We start from the raw sequence: 17,716 nt of genomic DNA, 5'->3' as shown, positions 1-17,716 counted from the left end.
CTATAAGTAATAAGAACAGTTTGGTCAGTTTGGAGCAAATGATGTTAATACCTTCAGGTCTTTGCTCAAATGTCACAAAATTAGAGAGGCTTTCGTAGACAAAGCTATAAAAAAATAGCATTCCTCTCTCACTTCTCTTACCAACATCTTTTGATTCCCTTTACCCCACTAGAATGTAAACTTCAAGAGAATAAGGACTTTTTAAAAACTGCTTTATTACCAGCACCTACAACAATGCCTGGCATGTCAGGAGTTTAATAAGTATTAAATGTATGAATTGGTTCATACTAAATCCTTTTGTGCTTAAGCTAGAGTCAGGACTGTGTTGTAGACAAAGCAGAATTTTATAGAAGATTGTAAAAAGTACTTTAAAGTCTGATATAGTCTAATGAGATACCATAAGGTGGTAAAAAAGTTATGAATAAACAAGGTGATTATGGTTGACTGACTTTCCTCAAAGTGTATGACCAAAAAATGTCGTATTAAGCACTATACATTATTTGTCAATATAGAGGTGGAGTCCAACTATTTAAAGCTCAGTAAATAAAAACCTTTAATGTGTTATGAAGTTTAAGGATTACTTTCTTTTTAGGCCTTAATTAGCTCAACAAATTAAATTGTATTCCCTTTCCATTTTCCTTCACAGCATCACACAAATAAATACAAAAAAAAAAAATTAAAATAGTTTTTCACTCAACAAACTAGGCATAGAAGGGACTTACCTCAAAATAATAAAAGTCATGTGACAAACCCACGGCCAATATCATACTGAATGGGGAAAAGCTGAAAGCACTCCCCCTGAGAACTAGAACAAGACAAGGAAGCCCACATTGGCATCCAAATTGGAAAAGAGGAAGTCAAACTATAGCTGTTTACCAATGACATAATCATATACCTAGAAAACCCAAGAGTTCTCCAAAAAATTCCTAGATTTCAGCCAGGTGTGGTGGCTCATTTCTATAATCCCAGCACTTTGGGAAGCCGAGGCAGGAGGATCACCCGAGATTGGGAGTTCAAGACCAGCCTGGCCAACAAAGTGAAACCCCATCTCTACTAAAAAATATAAAAATTAGCTGAGCATGGTGGTGCATGCCTGTAATCCCAGCTACTTGGAAAGCTGAGGCAGGAGAATTGCTTAAACCCAGGAGGTGGAGGTTGCAGTGAGCTGAGATCGCACCACTACGCTCTAGCCTGGGGGACAGAGCAAGACTCTGTCTTAAAAAAGATAAAAAAAAAGACTCCTAGATTTGATAAATGAATTCAGTAAAGTCTCAGGTTACAAAATCAGTGTACACAAATCAGCAGCATTGCTATACACCAACAACAACCAAGCTGAGAATCAAATTAAGAACACAAGCCCTTTTAGCTTCAAAAAAATACCTAGGAATGTACTTAACCAAGGGGGTGAAAGATCTTTTCAAGGAAAACTACAAAACACTGTCACCATCATTTTTCACAGAATTAGAAAAAAAAATCCTAAAATTCATATAAAACCGACCAAAAAGAGTCTGAATAGCCAAAGCAAGACTAAGCAAAAAGAACAAATCTGGAGGCATCACATTACTGGACTTCAAATTATACCAGGAAACTATAATTACCAAAACAGCAGATACACACAAAAGCAGACACACAGACCAATGGAACAGAATGGAGAACCTAGAAATAAAGCCAAAAACTTACAACGAACTGATCTTAGACATATAAAAACATAAATTGGAGAAAGGACATTCTGTTTAATAAATGGTGGTGGGAAAACTAGCTAGCCACATGTAAAAGAATGAAACTGGATCCCTGTCTCTCACCTTATACAAAAATCAACTCAAGATGGATCGAAGACTTAAATCTAAGACCTGAAACCATAAAAATTCTAGAAGATAACTTAGGAAAAACTCTTTTAAACACTGGCCTAGGCAAATAATAAATGACTAAGACCCCAAAAGCAAATGCGACAAAAACAAACAAAATAAATGGGACCTAATTAAACTAAAAAGCCTCTGCATAACAAAAGAAAGAATCATCAAAGTTAACAGACAACCCGTAGAATGGGAGAAAATATTCCCAAACTATGCATCTGACAAAGGACTAATATCCAGAATCTATAAGGAACTCAAATCAGCAAGAAACAAAGAATCCCATCAAAAAGTGGGTTAAAGCAGGATGCAGTGGCTCAAGCCTGTAATCCCAGCACTTAGGGAGGCTGAGGCGGGTGGATCACCTGAGGTCAGGAATTCAAGACCAGCCTGACCAACATGGTGAAACCCCGTCTCTACTAAAAATTCAAAAATTAGCCGTGTGTGGTGGCATGTGCCTGTAGTCCCAGCTACTTGGGAGGCTGAGGCAGGAGAATTGCTTTGAACCCAGGAGGTGGAGGTTGCGGTGAGCTGAGATCATGCCATTGTACTCCAGCCTGGGCAACAAGAGTGAGACTCCATCTCAAAAAAAAAAAAAAAAAAAAAAAAAAAAGTGGGCTAAGGACATGAATAGACAATTCTCAAAAGAAGATATATAAATGGTCAACAAACATGAAAAAATGCTCAACATCATTAATCATCAGGGAAATGCAAATTAAAACCACAATGAGATACCACCTTACTCCTGCAAGAATGGCCATAATTAAAAAGTCAAAAAACAACAGATGTTGACATGGATGTGGTGAAATGAGAATGCTTATACACTCCTGGTGGGAATGTAAATTAGTACAGCCTCTATGGAAAACAGTATGGAGATTTCTTAAAGAACTAAAAGTAGATCTACCATTTGGTCCAGGAATCCCTCTACCCAGAGGAAAAGAAGTCATTATATCAAAAAGGCATCTGCATGCATATCGTATGTTTACTGCAGCACAATTCACAATTGCAAAGATATGAAACCAACGTTAAGTACCCACTGACCAATGAGTGGATAAAGAAAGTGTACATATACACCACAGAATACTACTCCACCACAGAAAAGAATGAAATAATGTCTTTTGCAGCAACTGGGATGGAGCTGGAGGCCAGGAATGGAAAACCTGAAAATACAGTATGTTCTCACTTGTAAGTGGGAGCTAAGCTATAGGTACACAAAGGCATACAGAGTGATATAATGGACTACAGAGACTCAGATGGGAGACGGTGGGAAGAACAGTGAGGGATAAAAAAGTATATACTGGGGGCAAAGCACACTACTTGGGTTACAGGTGCGCTAAAATCTCAGACTTTACCACTATTTAATTCATCCATGTAATCAAAAACCACGTGTACCCCAAAAGCTATTGAAATAAGATAGAATAAAAAACAAACAAAAAATAGTTTTTGCTGAAGTGGTAAAAGAACTTCTATTATTTCATTTTATTTATTTTGATACAGGGTCTCACTCTGTTGCCCAGGTTGGAGTACAGTGGCGTGATAATGGCTCACTGCAACCTCAACCTCCTGGGCTCAAGTGATCCTCCCATCTCAGCCTCCTGAGTAGCTGGGACTACAGTGCATGCCACCACGCCTGGCTACTTTTTAAATTTTTTTGTAGACATGAATTCTCTCTATGTTACCCAGGCTGGTTTCAATTCCTGAGCTCAAGTGATCCTCCAGCCTCGGCCTCCCAAAGAGTTGGGATTACAGGCATGAACCACCACACCCAGCCAACATTTATTATTTTGAAATTGCTTGAAAAATATTGATTGTTTCTAATAGAGCAGCCAGAACTCTTTATTTTGTGTTTTTAATTGCTCGAGCTCACCTCTCAAATTCTCTTGTCTTTGTGCATTCTTGGGCTCCTTTACTAATCACTATTAAGAAATCCTGTGTCAAAACAAATGGCACACGTTCTCGTTTATAACCAAATTTTTTCTTCTTGTGATCCAAAAAGTGTCCAAAATCTATATGAAACAGCTTTCAAAAATAAGAAATTATGTTATAGTTTGATATATGCAGATACAAAATGTCTTGAATAAATTAAGAACACCAAAACATTTTAAACAGAGAAAACCATTACTTGTCCATCGTCTTTCACCATGATGTTACTATTGTGACGATCTCCAATTCCCAAAATGAAGGTAGCTACACAGTATCCAGCACATGAACGTGTAAACAGGTCAATGGCTGCATCATATCTACAAAGAATAAACACCTCATGAGTAGTATGGAAATATAGTGATTCAGGCCAACTTGAGAAAAGAAAACAGGGTGCAAGTTTCCATTTAAACAATGAAAACAATCACTGACAACGAATAAGGAAATTATGTCCAAAGATTTTGAGATTGTGAAGTTTTCATGGGTTTCTAAGGAAATTTCCAGATGTTCCCTGACCAAAGCATAATTCTTCATGTGAAAAAATACTTAGCATGTCATTAAAATTATTTTTTTCTAATCATTTTAACAATGAATTAGAAATAAAATTTTGAATGTGCAATATTCATTTGTTTTAAAAAGAATAAGCAATAACAATACATTTTAGATAATACATAAGATGAATGTTTAAGATTTTACCAAATTAAAAGTAATTATAATCATTTAAATCCATTAACATCAAATATTTCAAAGGTTGAGCATATTTTTTTCCATAGAAAGTACAATTGTTTTCTCTGTTCTAACTCAGAGGAATACACAAACACCGACAGACTCATCTAACAAAAACTTAGATTAACATAGGAAGAAAGAATAATACAACTCACATTTCTCCTTTGTTCTTGTCTTTGAGCCACTGATGTAGTGTGTGGCTGTTGAACTGCAGTGCACCTTTCAAGCCGCCTTTGCACTGAATTTGCATAATAGTGTGAGAATTTCGCACCACCTCAATAAGTCCCACACAGTCACCGATTGACAGACAACCATAAGGTAACATTCTGAAAGAGGAGTAACACGTTTACAATTAAATGATGGAATTTTAAAATAGCAAATGTTTTAACAGGCTAAAACATGAGTATTTTATTAGTAAATTTGTCATGCATGACCTTTACTGCCTTTCCCCAATTTTAATTTTCTTTTTTATGGTGTGATAAACATACTCCTGGAATAATCCTCAAAATTACCTGTCATCATTTATTATAACCTTCAACTGAGAAAGCACTGTATTTTTATCAGAAAAGAATTAAGAAAATTATTGTGGCAATTAAAATTTTACAAACATTTATGATTTTAAAAATATGTGTTAATTTAAAGATGTTTAATTGACATCGAAATAAAACTGTAGGGCAGAAGTTCTCAATTTTGGTCTCAGGACTCCTTTACACTTGTAGAAATTACTGAGGACTCCAAAGAGCTTTTAGTTATGTGAATTACATCTAATGATATTAGAAATTGAAATAGGGAAAATAAAAATTTTAAATATTTACTAATTCATTTAAAAGCAACAAACTATGACATGTTAATATAAGTAACATATTTCATGAAACAAAAAATGCATTTAAAAAATTTAGTGAGAAGAGTGAAATTCTTTCACATTTAAAAAAATTTTTAAATGTCTGGCTTCATAGTACCCAGCTGGATTCTCATATATGCTTTTGTATGCAATCTAATGCAATGTTTTAATTAAAGTATAAAAAGAAAATCTGGCCTCACAAAGATAGGTAGGTAGAAAAAGAAGGAGTATTATAATAGACTTTTCAGATAATTGTGATATTTTTCTTTGGTACTATTCTAAAACCTGACAAGATAAGTTTCTTAAGTTGCAAAATGTAATCTAAAACTGTATCAATAAACTTTTCATACTCAGTTACATTAAAATCAATTTGTCTTTCTTGCCTTTTAATGGATCTCTTACCCATACATGATTTTATAGTATCCTGCATGGTCATTTGTAGATGTTCCAAATGTTGATACTTTTCATTATACCATACTAAAAAACCACAATTGTTAATATTACCAAGAATCTCATCAGAAAGATGTTAAGTTTAGGGACTCTATTAGGTTCAGCGGCAGATAATGAAAATTAGAATTTTCAAAATTCTAATTTTGAATTTCTAATGAAATTTTTGTTGCAAGTTTGAATTTTATCATTGGCAACAAATACTGTCACAGTTGTTTTCTTCAAAGAGACAGGCACATATTGTTCATTTTCAAGAAAATGTCTGCCAAATATCCATGTCTGAATAACCATAGCTTGCCTACTAGTTATTTAAGTAAAAATCGTGTTCCATAAAAACAGCAGCTAGTTCAGCTCACAACTCAAATAATCCCACAAATGTTTCCCTTTGATACAACCATAATACTTGGGATGTGGCACAAATGCTTTTTAGGGTACCTCTCATTTATTCACATAGAAAATTAAATAGGACACTTAGTCAAGGGTGCAGATGTGAGGATTTAAAGAGACAATGAAAAAAAGCACCTAACATTCAGATTGACACGTAAGTATCCAAAGTTTGGTTTTCCTTGCTCTGTTCTTCTCGTAAGCTACTCTCCATATTTTCCACCTTTCCTTTATTTCTTAAATTCCTAATACGGTCAATACTTATTTTCATTTTCTTACTTAATTCCTTGTAGCCTAGCTTCTACACCTACCACTCTAGTGAGTAAACTCTTAAAACTAATGATGAGTCACTAAATCCAAGTGCTTTTTCACAGGCCTTATTCTTTTAACCCCCTTGAAGCCCTGGCCCTACAAATTGTCAATCACTTCCTCTAGTACTCCAACTTCCTTTGATGACTTCTCTTACACAACCTTTTCTTCTACCTGCCCTCGTAAATAGGGAAATATCTTAAGGTTGTACTCCTGCTCATTCTTTCTTATTTTATGTTTTTATCACTGTTGAACATGCTCACAGTTTACAGAATTTAATTGTCTTCTAAGTCTTGTTATTAAAAAAAAGAAGCAGGGTTAAAATAAACCCGATTCTGAATTATAGTTTTGCCAAGTATAAATAAAAATGCTGTTATGATTTTACTTAAATAATTTTAATCTAAAGTTAAACTTGAAATAAAATTTTTACTTATATTTACTTAAGTTAAAAAATATTCAGAAAATACAAGACTAAAAAACCATTAATATTTCTAATCATCTTAACTTCAGATGCTTTTTTGCAAAGTCATTACTTTATAATTAAACAATGTAATTAACCAGCGTTACACGGTTATCTCCTTTACTCTTTCTTAGCTCTATAATCTTTTTTACAGTCTATTCCTTTGGGGGACATGGTAGTAGTGGCATGTGGATCTCTCATGACACAGGAAATTATACCAAAAAATGAAATTTGATTCATATAACATTAACCATTTTTGGAAAGCAGCAGGGGTTAAGCTACGTATCAGGAGTTACAAATTTGAAGTTGATGACAATTTTGTGCCTTAGCAGGTCACCTGAAATGTCCACTTTCTTCTTTGCAATAAAAGGGTACAACTATTTGTCACTGACACATTTTTGTATACTAGCTACTCTTAAAATTTATAAGAGGCATACAAATAAGCCCTTGTCTGGTGTTACCTGCAATTCCTACTAAATGTACCCTGTTGTTACAGCTAGACTTGACTCTATGTCCACTTATAGGCCAAAATACTTTGGACAGAGTGGGCTTTGCCTGAATGACTATGGATTTGCAAAAAGACAAGTCAGGTAAGGAAGAACATTTTAGAAGCAACAATGACTAGGAGAAGATGAAGCATGACAGAAAACTTGGTGATAATACTGATATTGTGGAAAGTTGGGTAGAAACCAACAGACTGGTAAAAACTCTAAGATAGCTGGTTGCATAATTTTGCTGCAAAACTGATTCCAATATTTGAGGATTTATACAGTTTTAGAATTAGAAAATTCCCATTATGAAACTTTCTTTTAAACTCTTAATTTCTGAATGAAAACAGGGGTCTTTTGTGTCTCCTTTGTCTTGTTCCTAATGGTGACACTCCAGAGGCAGTAGCAGAGTGTTTATTAGCTTATTAGCTCTTTTTACTTAGCTGAATATAATTTAGCTATTCTAAGTAAGAGGAGGATATGTCAAAGTACTATAGTGTAATCAACTACTGATAATTACTGCATACATTTCTTTTTAGACATATGCCTCTATATGCTTCTATAATTATTAATAGTTCACTTTTTCAGGATAACTTTCAACATACAGGTTGCCTTACTGGTTACCTACCGAAGATCAAGACCTTGATTTTGCCAGATATTTTCCATAATACGAATAATTTGAAGTGTTAGCATATCTTGCCGTAAATCTGAAATTCAAATAATATGTATCACCATTTAATGCCACAGATGCAAATTTGGGGATCACGCCATCACATGGTTTTCAAATGAAAAACAAATACAGCTATATTTACTCTTCAAAAGAAACTTCAGGAAAGCAATATTCTGATTTCTTTTCAAAAAATTTATAAATGAGTGTATATGTCCACTCAAAGCCTTTACATAGCTTTATTAATGTATTTATAATTTTTTGAGATGGGGTCTTGCTAAGTTGCCCAGGCTGGTCTAAAACTCCTGGGCTCAAGTAATCCTCCAGAGCAACTGGGATCACAAGCATGCACCACTACAAATGGCTCTTAATATTCTGATTCTTAAATCCACTTTTAAAGTCTTTGCATAAACATATTTGAATAACAATGTAGGATAAGTGAGCATGCATCTCACAAAAATTTTTAATTAAAGCATTTATAGTAATTATTTTTCTGAATCCTTAAATTTGAACACATGTTTATATTAAAATATTGGGATCAACAGAATTCACTGCTGAAATGTCATTTCCTATTGAAAACCCATCCATGATCCTCCTTCACTCCCCCCATAGCCTTTTCCTCCATATAAGTACCTTCTTTTATATGGTTCCTGAGCAGACTACACTCTTCCTTTGCAACATGCTTGCAATTTTATTTTTGTAATTATTCATTTAATGTCCCTCTTTTCTCTGTTAGGCTGTAAGCTCCAAGAGGGCAGGGATTCTGTTTTCTTCACTGCTAAAACCCCAGGGCCTAGCACATAGAATATTTATGGAATGAATGGATACTCACACAGCTAAGCAAATGATAATTAGAAACTGATTAAAAAAAAAACCAAAACAACAACAAAAAATACTTCTCTACACAGGTCCACGGGAGGGGGGTTGGAGGCAGGGAACAGGAAAAAGAAAAAACAAAAAACTGATTTCAGGACTTCTGATCTAAACCTAGTACTTCTTTTCTTTTCATTGATTATACATGCATATTTCAAAGGTCAAGACATCTGATAAATATTACATATTTTATCACATGTGTATATTCCTTAAATGGCTTTCAGTAGTTTTCATGGTTCATAAATATCCTGTGTATAAAAAGATAGCTAAATTCATGCATCATAAGCTCATTAATACTCTTCCTTACCATCCCCATTTTTAAAGATGATCTCATTGTTCTGAAACAGTAACTCTGACATGATGTCTGGGTTCTCCCAATTCAACCACAGTGGCCTTTTTGCAGAGGACATAATTCGACACTCTTCAAGCCTTTAAAATAGTTAAAAACTTTACTAGGTACCTTTGCTTTATTATTATTTTACCCTGAAATTTATTTTAAAATATAAATACAATATAGCTTTTTGAAGTGTTACAAAGATTTACAACTTTCACCTCAATTTTTATTTAGGAATCCATTCCTAAAGAGTATAAAAAAAACTAAAAGTTTTAAAAGTTATATAATTGCATATGAATTTCCAACAAATATATAGAGATATATCATTAGTTTTACAGATATTACATTTCCATTTCTTATCCTATGGTAACAGAAATTCTGGCCATAGAAGGTTTTAAACTGTATTATTTAAGTAGTAAAAACTCATTCTGAATAAAGGCAGTACTGAACTTAAGATATACTACTCTTATTTTGAGGGTAGGAGAATGAGAGAGAGAAGCATAAATTATTGAACATTCTAATTATAACAGACATTTTTACTTTTCTCAAGATTTTATCCAGAAAAGGTATTTATTTAAATATATCAATGAAACCCCCAAGAAAGTACCTGAGGTTTCCTAGTTGATGAGCAGGGTTTAGAGGAGACAGAAAGCCCTGTAGAGCATCCATGAAATCTGGTCGCCTCATTTGCTCAACTAAAAACTTCATCTGTACCTGATTAAAAAAAAAGGATAGTCACAGTAAGAAACTGACTTAATAAAAGATAAAACTAACTGCTAATCTCTTTCTCACATGAGAACCTCAGTACTGTACAGTCTCTGAATCTACATCCTAGACTGCTGCTTTCTAATTAAGAGGGTTTCTACAACACAGAGCAGCAACACTCAGAGACAGAAGCAAGACTGGCAGCACTGTGTACCCCTTCCTGTAAGAAGATGAAATCTGCTTGGTGATAGTGGCAATGCTTTTGGCTGTAGAGCAGGGCTAGTCAACCGGCAGGTCAGCTGCCAGTTTTTGTAAATTGAGTTGTATTAGAATATAGCTACACCCATTCATTACATATTGGCTGCTTTTACGAGAATAGCAGAGTTGAATAGTTAAGACAGAGACCACATGGGCCTGCAAAGTCTAAAACAGTTACTATCTGGCCCTTTAAGAAAACTTGCTGATCTGTGTTCTAGAGGAAAAACTAAGGAGACCATGTTACATTAGCTTAATAACCTTACTTTTAGGCTTTTAAGAAAACACAGCATTCATACTCTCTTTGCTGGGTGAAAGTGGTCTAGTGAGGCTAAAAGAAATTGTTGGGAAAAGGACTTGTAAAAACATTTGTTACATGGAGTCTCATACTATATTCAGGTTTTAGTATGTGGCTACAAAACAATATCCCTTTTTAATCAATTCAAATCAGAGCCCAGACTGCTGAGTTATCACGCAATAGCTGGGATTTTATTTTAGGAAACTTTCACCTATTGAAAATATAAAATGTGAGTGGGGGAAAAAGTGGTTAGGAGCTAGGAATTATAATAAATTAATTTTCATGCTGGAATTTAAATAAGTTTTTTTCTTCTTGTTATATACAAATGAATAGTTAGAAAATCTAATCATCACTGACTAGATAGCTCTTGTTCATGTAAAGGCATTTCTATCACTGACAACTCTAATGTTAGCACAATGCTTCTTATATTTTATCACTCATTGTTACAACAAAACACAAAGCCACTCAAAGTAACTGCTCTTGTTTCTATGACTGCAATCTTAGTTCCCTATCAAAATCTCATTTAAGCCAATAATGATCTGAGTAATGAATTTCATGTTCCTAATTAATCCACTGTATCATAGCCAATTTGTGATATAAAAACTCCAGCTTAGAAGAAATGCCTACACAGATGGTCTCCAACTTACAATGGTTTTGACTTACTATTTTTCAACTTTGTGATGGTGTGAAAGCAACATGCATTCAGAAATTATATGTCAAATTTTGAACTTTTATCTCTTCCTACATGCATTCAGTAGAAACTATACATCAAATTTTAAACTTTTATCTCTTCCTGGGCTAGTGATATGCAACACAGTATTTTCTTGAGATGCTGGGTAGCAGCAGCGAGCCGCAGCTCCCAGTCAGCCATGCAGTCATGAGGGTAAACGACCAATAGTCTACAGCGTACTGTGTGGCCAGCATTTTTTGGATACTGTGTTTTGTGTTTTCGCATCCCATCACATCTACAAAATGCCCATTTTTGCCTGTACGATATTTTCAACTTATGATGTGTTTATCAGGATATAACCCTGTTATAAGTTGAGGAACATCTGTATTTACAAATGTATCTAAAATTTAGTTTCTTTTTTCTCAGCTCAGTTACAATATATAAATACAATAAATTTTGTTCTTCCAGGGCAATCTAGACCCTTCTTGCTCATAAATTCCAGTATCAGAAAGAGTACAATTATTTTCTACCATCCTATATTTGAATTTATATATCACACTTCAATAAAATCAACTCACACTGTATGACATTTACATTAATACAATAACTTTGTTTTAATTTTTTTTTTTCCTTCAAGTACTAGTAATGAAGATGCTGGAAAAATTCATTCAGTACTGCTAACTTACATTCTCTGTCCTTTGGGGACTCACTAATATACGATTTTTCTTTTTTTTTTCCTTTTACTAGAGGTGAGGAATGAGCTTCCTTTTAATTGTAAGAGGTGGTGAATTTAGGATGTGGTGGATTGGATTGAATAAAGAATAGGGTGTAGGAAAAGGTCATAAAAAAGTTTACATTGGGCTAGGCACAGTGGCTCATGCCTGTAATTCCAGCACTTTGGGAGGCCGAGGTGGGCAGACTGCTTGAGCCCAGGAATTGGAGACCAGCCTGGGCAACAAAGCGAAACACTGTCTCTACTAAAAATACAAAAATTAGCTGGAAGTGGTGGCATGCTCCTATAGTCCTAGCTACTCAGGAGGCTGAGGTGGGAGGATGGCTTGAACCCAGGAGGTCAAGGCTGCAGTGAGCCGAAATTGCACCACTGCATTCCAGGCCAGGCAAAAGAGCCAGACCCTGTCTCAAAAAAAAAAAAAAAAAAAAAAAAAAAAAGTTTACATTGTATTTCCTACTCTTAGTTATACTAAGCTAGACAGCAGATGACTAGAGTGTGATATATTTACTGAGTGACTCGAAATCCATTTTAAACTTGGAAATGTAAAAACTAACTTCTTTCCACTCATTTTCAGGGTCATTACTGAGAGACAATAAATGACAGAATAAGGAAATAATCACTGTAAATACTTAGGGACCTGAATAAGAGAAAGGAAGGGAAAGTAAAGGGATCTAACATTTATTGGCCACCTTCTATGTTCCAAGGATTGTGATAGGTTCTTTGCATATCTCGTGTAATTTAATTCTCACAATGGCCTTATGAAGCAGGTATTATTTCCATTTTACAGACAAAGAAAATGAGTCCTGAGAGCCTGCATGACGTGTCTAACACTACACAGCTGAGAGGCAGTGGAACTTGGTTCCAAATCCTAATCTGCTTGATTCCAAGGACCATGATCTGTATATACACTGGGCTTCTAAACAACTCTGCCCCACTGCAGTGAAAAGAGTCTCAAACACAAACTAGAGTCACACACCTTTTGTGTTTCATCCTTCTTCTCCTGTTTGAGAATGTCAGTTAAGTTAATGAGCTTTTCCATTGCCTCGACTTGCCTATTCAGGTGCTTCAAATACATCCCACATGCACGACAATAGGACTCCAAAAGCAGGCCAAACCTCTGGCTAACTGTTTTATTGTGCATCTCAGATCTAAAAGAATCGTGCAAAATTAAAAATATATATATATAGTCTTAAATCAGTATACAAATAATCTTTGCTAAACAATTTAAACACTCATTTTTGAAATCCAATAAATGTTACAATCATACTAATAATAAAATTATTCAAAACCTGTAATTTAGAAACAAAACCACCATGAGTTTCAGGTAGTTCCTGAATATGTGATTAAATAAACATCTAGTTTTTAGGTTTATTTCAACTAGTTTTCATTGACTAATCTCAGTACAAGATATAAAAACATGAAAAAAGGAAATTGAGCACAAAAATAATCAAATGAAGAGGGAGGGAACAAAGCGCTCAGTGAATGCTGTTTGACTCTTCTGACACACGCCTATGCTTCTTGTTTTCAACTTAACTTCTGGGTTCCATTATTAAATTTTAACACTTAAAATATCATATTAGATATAAATCTGCTTCTAAATTTATGAAAAGTTATATGGTTTATGACCTGTAACTTTTGAGTACTACATATATCACATTCTACAAAACATTTTTTATTCTTAATTAGCTTGTTTTTCAGTAAGAACCACGGGAGTTTGACATTGTTCTGAATTTCAAGGTAAAACATTTTTTTCTTTGTTTGGGGATATTGTAATCCATACACACAGTGAAACCTACAGCAATATTCATCTGGACCTAGAAAATTTGACTTAAGTAGAACAAAAATCTTTAAAAATATTTAAGCTCTCATTCATGACTAAAATTTAGTTTTGAATTTACTGCTTTTTAAATTTCAAAGAGCAAAAGTTGAGAAGCTCATCACTGGTACAAAATACTTTTAGTATGGAAAACTCTTCCAGCCAAACATAAACAAAAGTATATAAGTAATACATATTTATAAATCTATTAAGAAAGCAAGTAATATGTACCTTAAGAATTTAATGGGAAAATAATTAGACTTACTTTAAATGCCAAAAGAAAAAGTGCCCAATCCTTTGATTAGTCAATGCTTTCTTCAGTAAAAATCTCACAAGCAAGTTATCCAAATATTGTTCATATTTTAGGACCTAGGTGATTCCAAAAAAACAAATCAGGGTCAGTTTCTGCATGGCCGATCTAAAGAAAATTTTTTCAGAAAGAAAGTGGATATTACTGGTAATAATTTTTTTTTTTAAGCATAAAACTAGTTAGTGCAGTAGGTTTTTTAAAAGGAAGTTGTATGGATCTAGAATAAATTATTATTGTAATTAAACATTATTTACTATTTTACATTATTTTACCTGTACTAGCTGAATTAAATACTGAGAAAGTTTGTCATCTGTTAAATATTTTTCCAAGCACCGAACAGCAAAACCTCGAACCATAGGATCTGGGTAATTACAGTCCAGAAGTTCCATAGCCTGTTCAGGTTTGATTGGAGGCCAATCTTTTACCAAGCAATACATCTGTGTATGAGAAAGACAATAAATCATATTTAAAGGGGAAAGATAGTTGTGAATGAGCCATCTAAAACACTGCCTTAACTTCTGATTTTAAAATTAGTTTAGATAAATAATCTCCTTAGAATTTACAGTTCTAATTAGTTTTATCTATGGAAATAATGTTAAGGGTGTTTTTTTCTACACTATATTACTATTAGTCTATTTCATTTATTTATGTGGACTTTCTGAGAGAAAACAATTTAAGTGACATACCAATTTGTACAACAGTTATCTAGTAATCTCAAACATACATTTACCTGGGCTACTTCATCTCTAGAATTCCATTTAACAGACAGAAGCAATTTGGGTAGAATTTCGGGGATAGTTACACAATAGTGTCTGTGTGGGAGAAACAAAATAAACATAAACATTCTTGCATGCTGTTCAAAAGGTTGACATGTCTAACTTCTCCATATGAATCTTCTTAAGAAGTCCCAAACTTCTTACATTACTAGCTTTTTTAAAATTCAAAAGACATCAGTGTTTAACACTATAGTTGGAAATATATTTACATATATACTTAGGCACAGTTATAATGGCAAAGAACACAAAAGGAAAATGCAAATGGATTATAAGTACTTACATTTAGTTAACAGTTAAGAAAAATTATGAATATATGTTATACCACTCTTCATATAGCTCATATTTTTCACCTACTTATGCAACATGAATGAATCATAGAGTCACCACTTCTACTGTAGTTACTGGACAAAATTTATGTCTTAATGGACTTTCTGCAGAAATGCACTGCAACTGGTTTATTTAAATATACCCGTATCACCAACAGCAGGGTAATTTCTTCATAAATGAAAATAAGGCATTATACTATTTGAAGAAACGTAAGAAAAAAGAAAAATGAAAGGGAACCCCTAAAAATTATAATATCTAGACCAACTAAATCACATCTAAATTGACCTAAAACTACTAGAATATTTTAAACAATCCTAAAGAAAGTCATATCAGGAATTCAGAGTAAGAAAAAGCATTTAATGTGCCAACTACCAATGTAGTATGATTTTCCACAAATATCAATTTACAACCATTGTTTTTAAAAAGGCAATGTTTATAGTTTAAAAATCATGTAAATTCTGCTTTATTTATTCCAATAGGTATGGTAAAAACATGCTGAGATCAGCCAAATTCAGTTATTTTTTCTGTAATAAAGAAAAAGAAACAGAGAATCTCCATTTTAGCACTTACCTGTGACTCCATAGAAAATCTTTCTCCTGCTCAGTGATTTCAGAGAGAGGATCTCGTGTAGAAATTGCTTTGAGCTGTTCTTTGTCATTTTCCCTTAATTCATTGTCTCTAGCTAGTCTGTTACTCTGTAAAATAAAATAATATCTTATATAGCTTTCTTTGTCATATTTTTCCCCTCTGGATTCACAGATGATTTACAGAAAAAGCAAATACATTTTCAATAAATTTTACATTGCTAATTAACTGTTGTAAAATAATTTATTTTCATTGCAAGACTTTATTTTCAGAGACAGGAAAGAACCAATCTAAGACATAATATTTGTAGAACAAATCCAGTAATTTATTTGGTTAATATTACACCAGTCACAGAATAGTAACTGCTGAAGTTAGCCAACAACAAGACCAGATTAGGATACTAGAGGATGGTAGTGAACAATTTACTTTTCCTCCTGATGAGGATCTTGTTAACTTATCTGTGAATGTTTTTGATATAGAGAATAAGAAACACTAAAATGATAAAAATGTAAACCCTTTCATGTTCTTTGCCTGAACAGATCCTTATGATCCCTGCAAAGCTTTCAAATTTAAAAAGTAAAAACCAGTAAGAAAAAAAGAATGAAGAAACACCCCCATTAAAACACTGTATCCTGAATATTAGAAAACGAAAAATAATATTTTTTTGTATAATTCCAAGCAATGTATATTCCCTGCAAATATAGATATATTAACTGTGTAATGAATAATGAGTACATATTAATGTATTATGCAAAACAAATATAAACCCCTTAGGATGGGTTACATATATTTTTAAAAGGCTAAAAATGAAAGCAGACATCCATGCCACTTGGTTTGTATGTGTTTATATGCTGTTAACTTATTCAGCAGCATGAAGAAATATTACCGGCACATATTTGTTCAACAAGTATTTATTAAATATGTACTATGTACCTTGTTTTGTTCTTGCTGTTGGGATTACAAAATAGTAAAAGACCCTGCACTAACAGAGCCTCTGTTATAGTGGGAAATCAAATAAATAAAAATATTGGAAAATTGATATAATGTACTCTGGATGATGTAACAGAGAATGACTGAGAACATAGTATTTGTGATTCAAGTAACAAGAAGGAACCTTTATCCACACTAAGATTTGGGAAAGACTATTGCAGATGGAGAAAACACTGCAAGCCTTCCTCCCACCCCGGAAATAACTAGTTTGGTGTGAAGGAATAAAGCCAGTGAGCCTGATGGGCAATAGACAAGGGAAAGAAGAAATGTAAGCTGAATTCAGACCACGTAAAATTTGCGAACAGGGTATAAAGTTGGGATTTTATTTTTATTGATAGCTATTTAAAGAATGAATACCATGATTTGATTTGTATTTCATAAAGATTATTATGGCTTCTCTGTGGAAGGAGGGAGAGGTTATTCCAGTAGTCCAGGAAAGAGATAATACATACTCAATCCTCGATTTATCAGGAAAAGAAGCTGCTACTGTTTATTTACTTATTTTTATTTGTTTACATTTTAAATATAAAATAACTTACAGAAGAATAAAGTGATGGGGAAAACAATTTTATTAGACATTTTAATAAGAATTTAAATATTATAAAACCAAATTCTTATCTACATTTTCCTGGTTTTGAAGATAAATATATCATTGTCAAACTAGAAACTACATTGTCAAAATGCAGTATTTTTGAAAATTCTGACGGCTCATAACTGTTGAAGGAAAGGCCATCTTTTTTCCTCTGTAATTACAAAACATTTCTACTCTATAAATGCCAATCAGAATGATCAACTCAAGGAGTTATTTTATTTCTATATCATCTTTTTCCTTCTAGTCACATTTGTATACACAGCTACCTTCGGCATTTGTCCATTTAGAAAGTGTATCAGGTAAATTTTTAACGTAGATTTAGAGGTTCAAGAAAATTTAAAAAAAAATTTTGGTGCATAT

The 17,716-nt window shown here is 33.4% G+C and overlaps 1 protein-coding gene across 2 annotated transcripts in view; it reads right to left on the bottom strand.

Annotated features, from left to right (window-relative positions):
• Positions 1-17,716, bottom strand: part of PIK3CA (phosphatidylinositol-4,5-bisphosphate 3-kinase catalytic subunit alpha) — a 91,968-nt gene that overhangs the window by 6,000 nt on the left and 68,252 nt on the right. For both annotated transcript variants that reach the window (XM_006713658.5, NM_006218.4), the window contains exons 10-20: positions 15,760-15,884; positions 14,817-14,898; positions 14,359-14,523; positions 14,042-14,145; positions 12,937-13,108; positions 9,907-10,013; positions 9,273-9,394; positions 8,054-8,132; positions 4,652-4,822; positions 3,973-4,090; positions 3,718-3,869 (exon numbers count right to left, since the gene is read on the bottom strand). In XM_006713658.5, coding sequence (XP_006713721.1) covers positions 3,718-3,869; positions 3,973-4,090; positions 4,652-4,822; positions 8,054-8,132; positions 9,273-9,394; positions 9,907-10,013; positions 12,937-13,108; positions 14,042-14,145; positions 14,359-14,523; positions 14,817-14,898; positions 15,760-15,884 — 1,397 coding nt within the window. The remainder of the gene's footprint in view (positions 1-3,717; positions 3,870-3,972; positions 4,091-4,651; positions 4,823-8,053; positions 8,133-9,272; positions 9,395-9,906; positions 10,014-12,936; positions 13,109-14,041; positions 14,146-14,358; positions 14,524-14,816; positions 14,899-15,759; positions 15,885-17,716) is intronic.

The sequence above is a fragment of the Homo sapiens genome, chromosome 3, assembly GCF_000001405.40.
Source record: "Homo sapiens chromosome 3, GRCh38.p14 Primary Assembly".
In the NCBI taxonomy this organism is placed as follows: domain Eukaryota; kingdom Metazoa; phylum Chordata; class Mammalia; order Primates; family Hominidae; genus Homo; species Homo sapiens.
The sequence above is the reverse complement of the archived record's forward strand: the minus strand, read 5'-3'. Positions and strand labels throughout refer to the sequence as shown.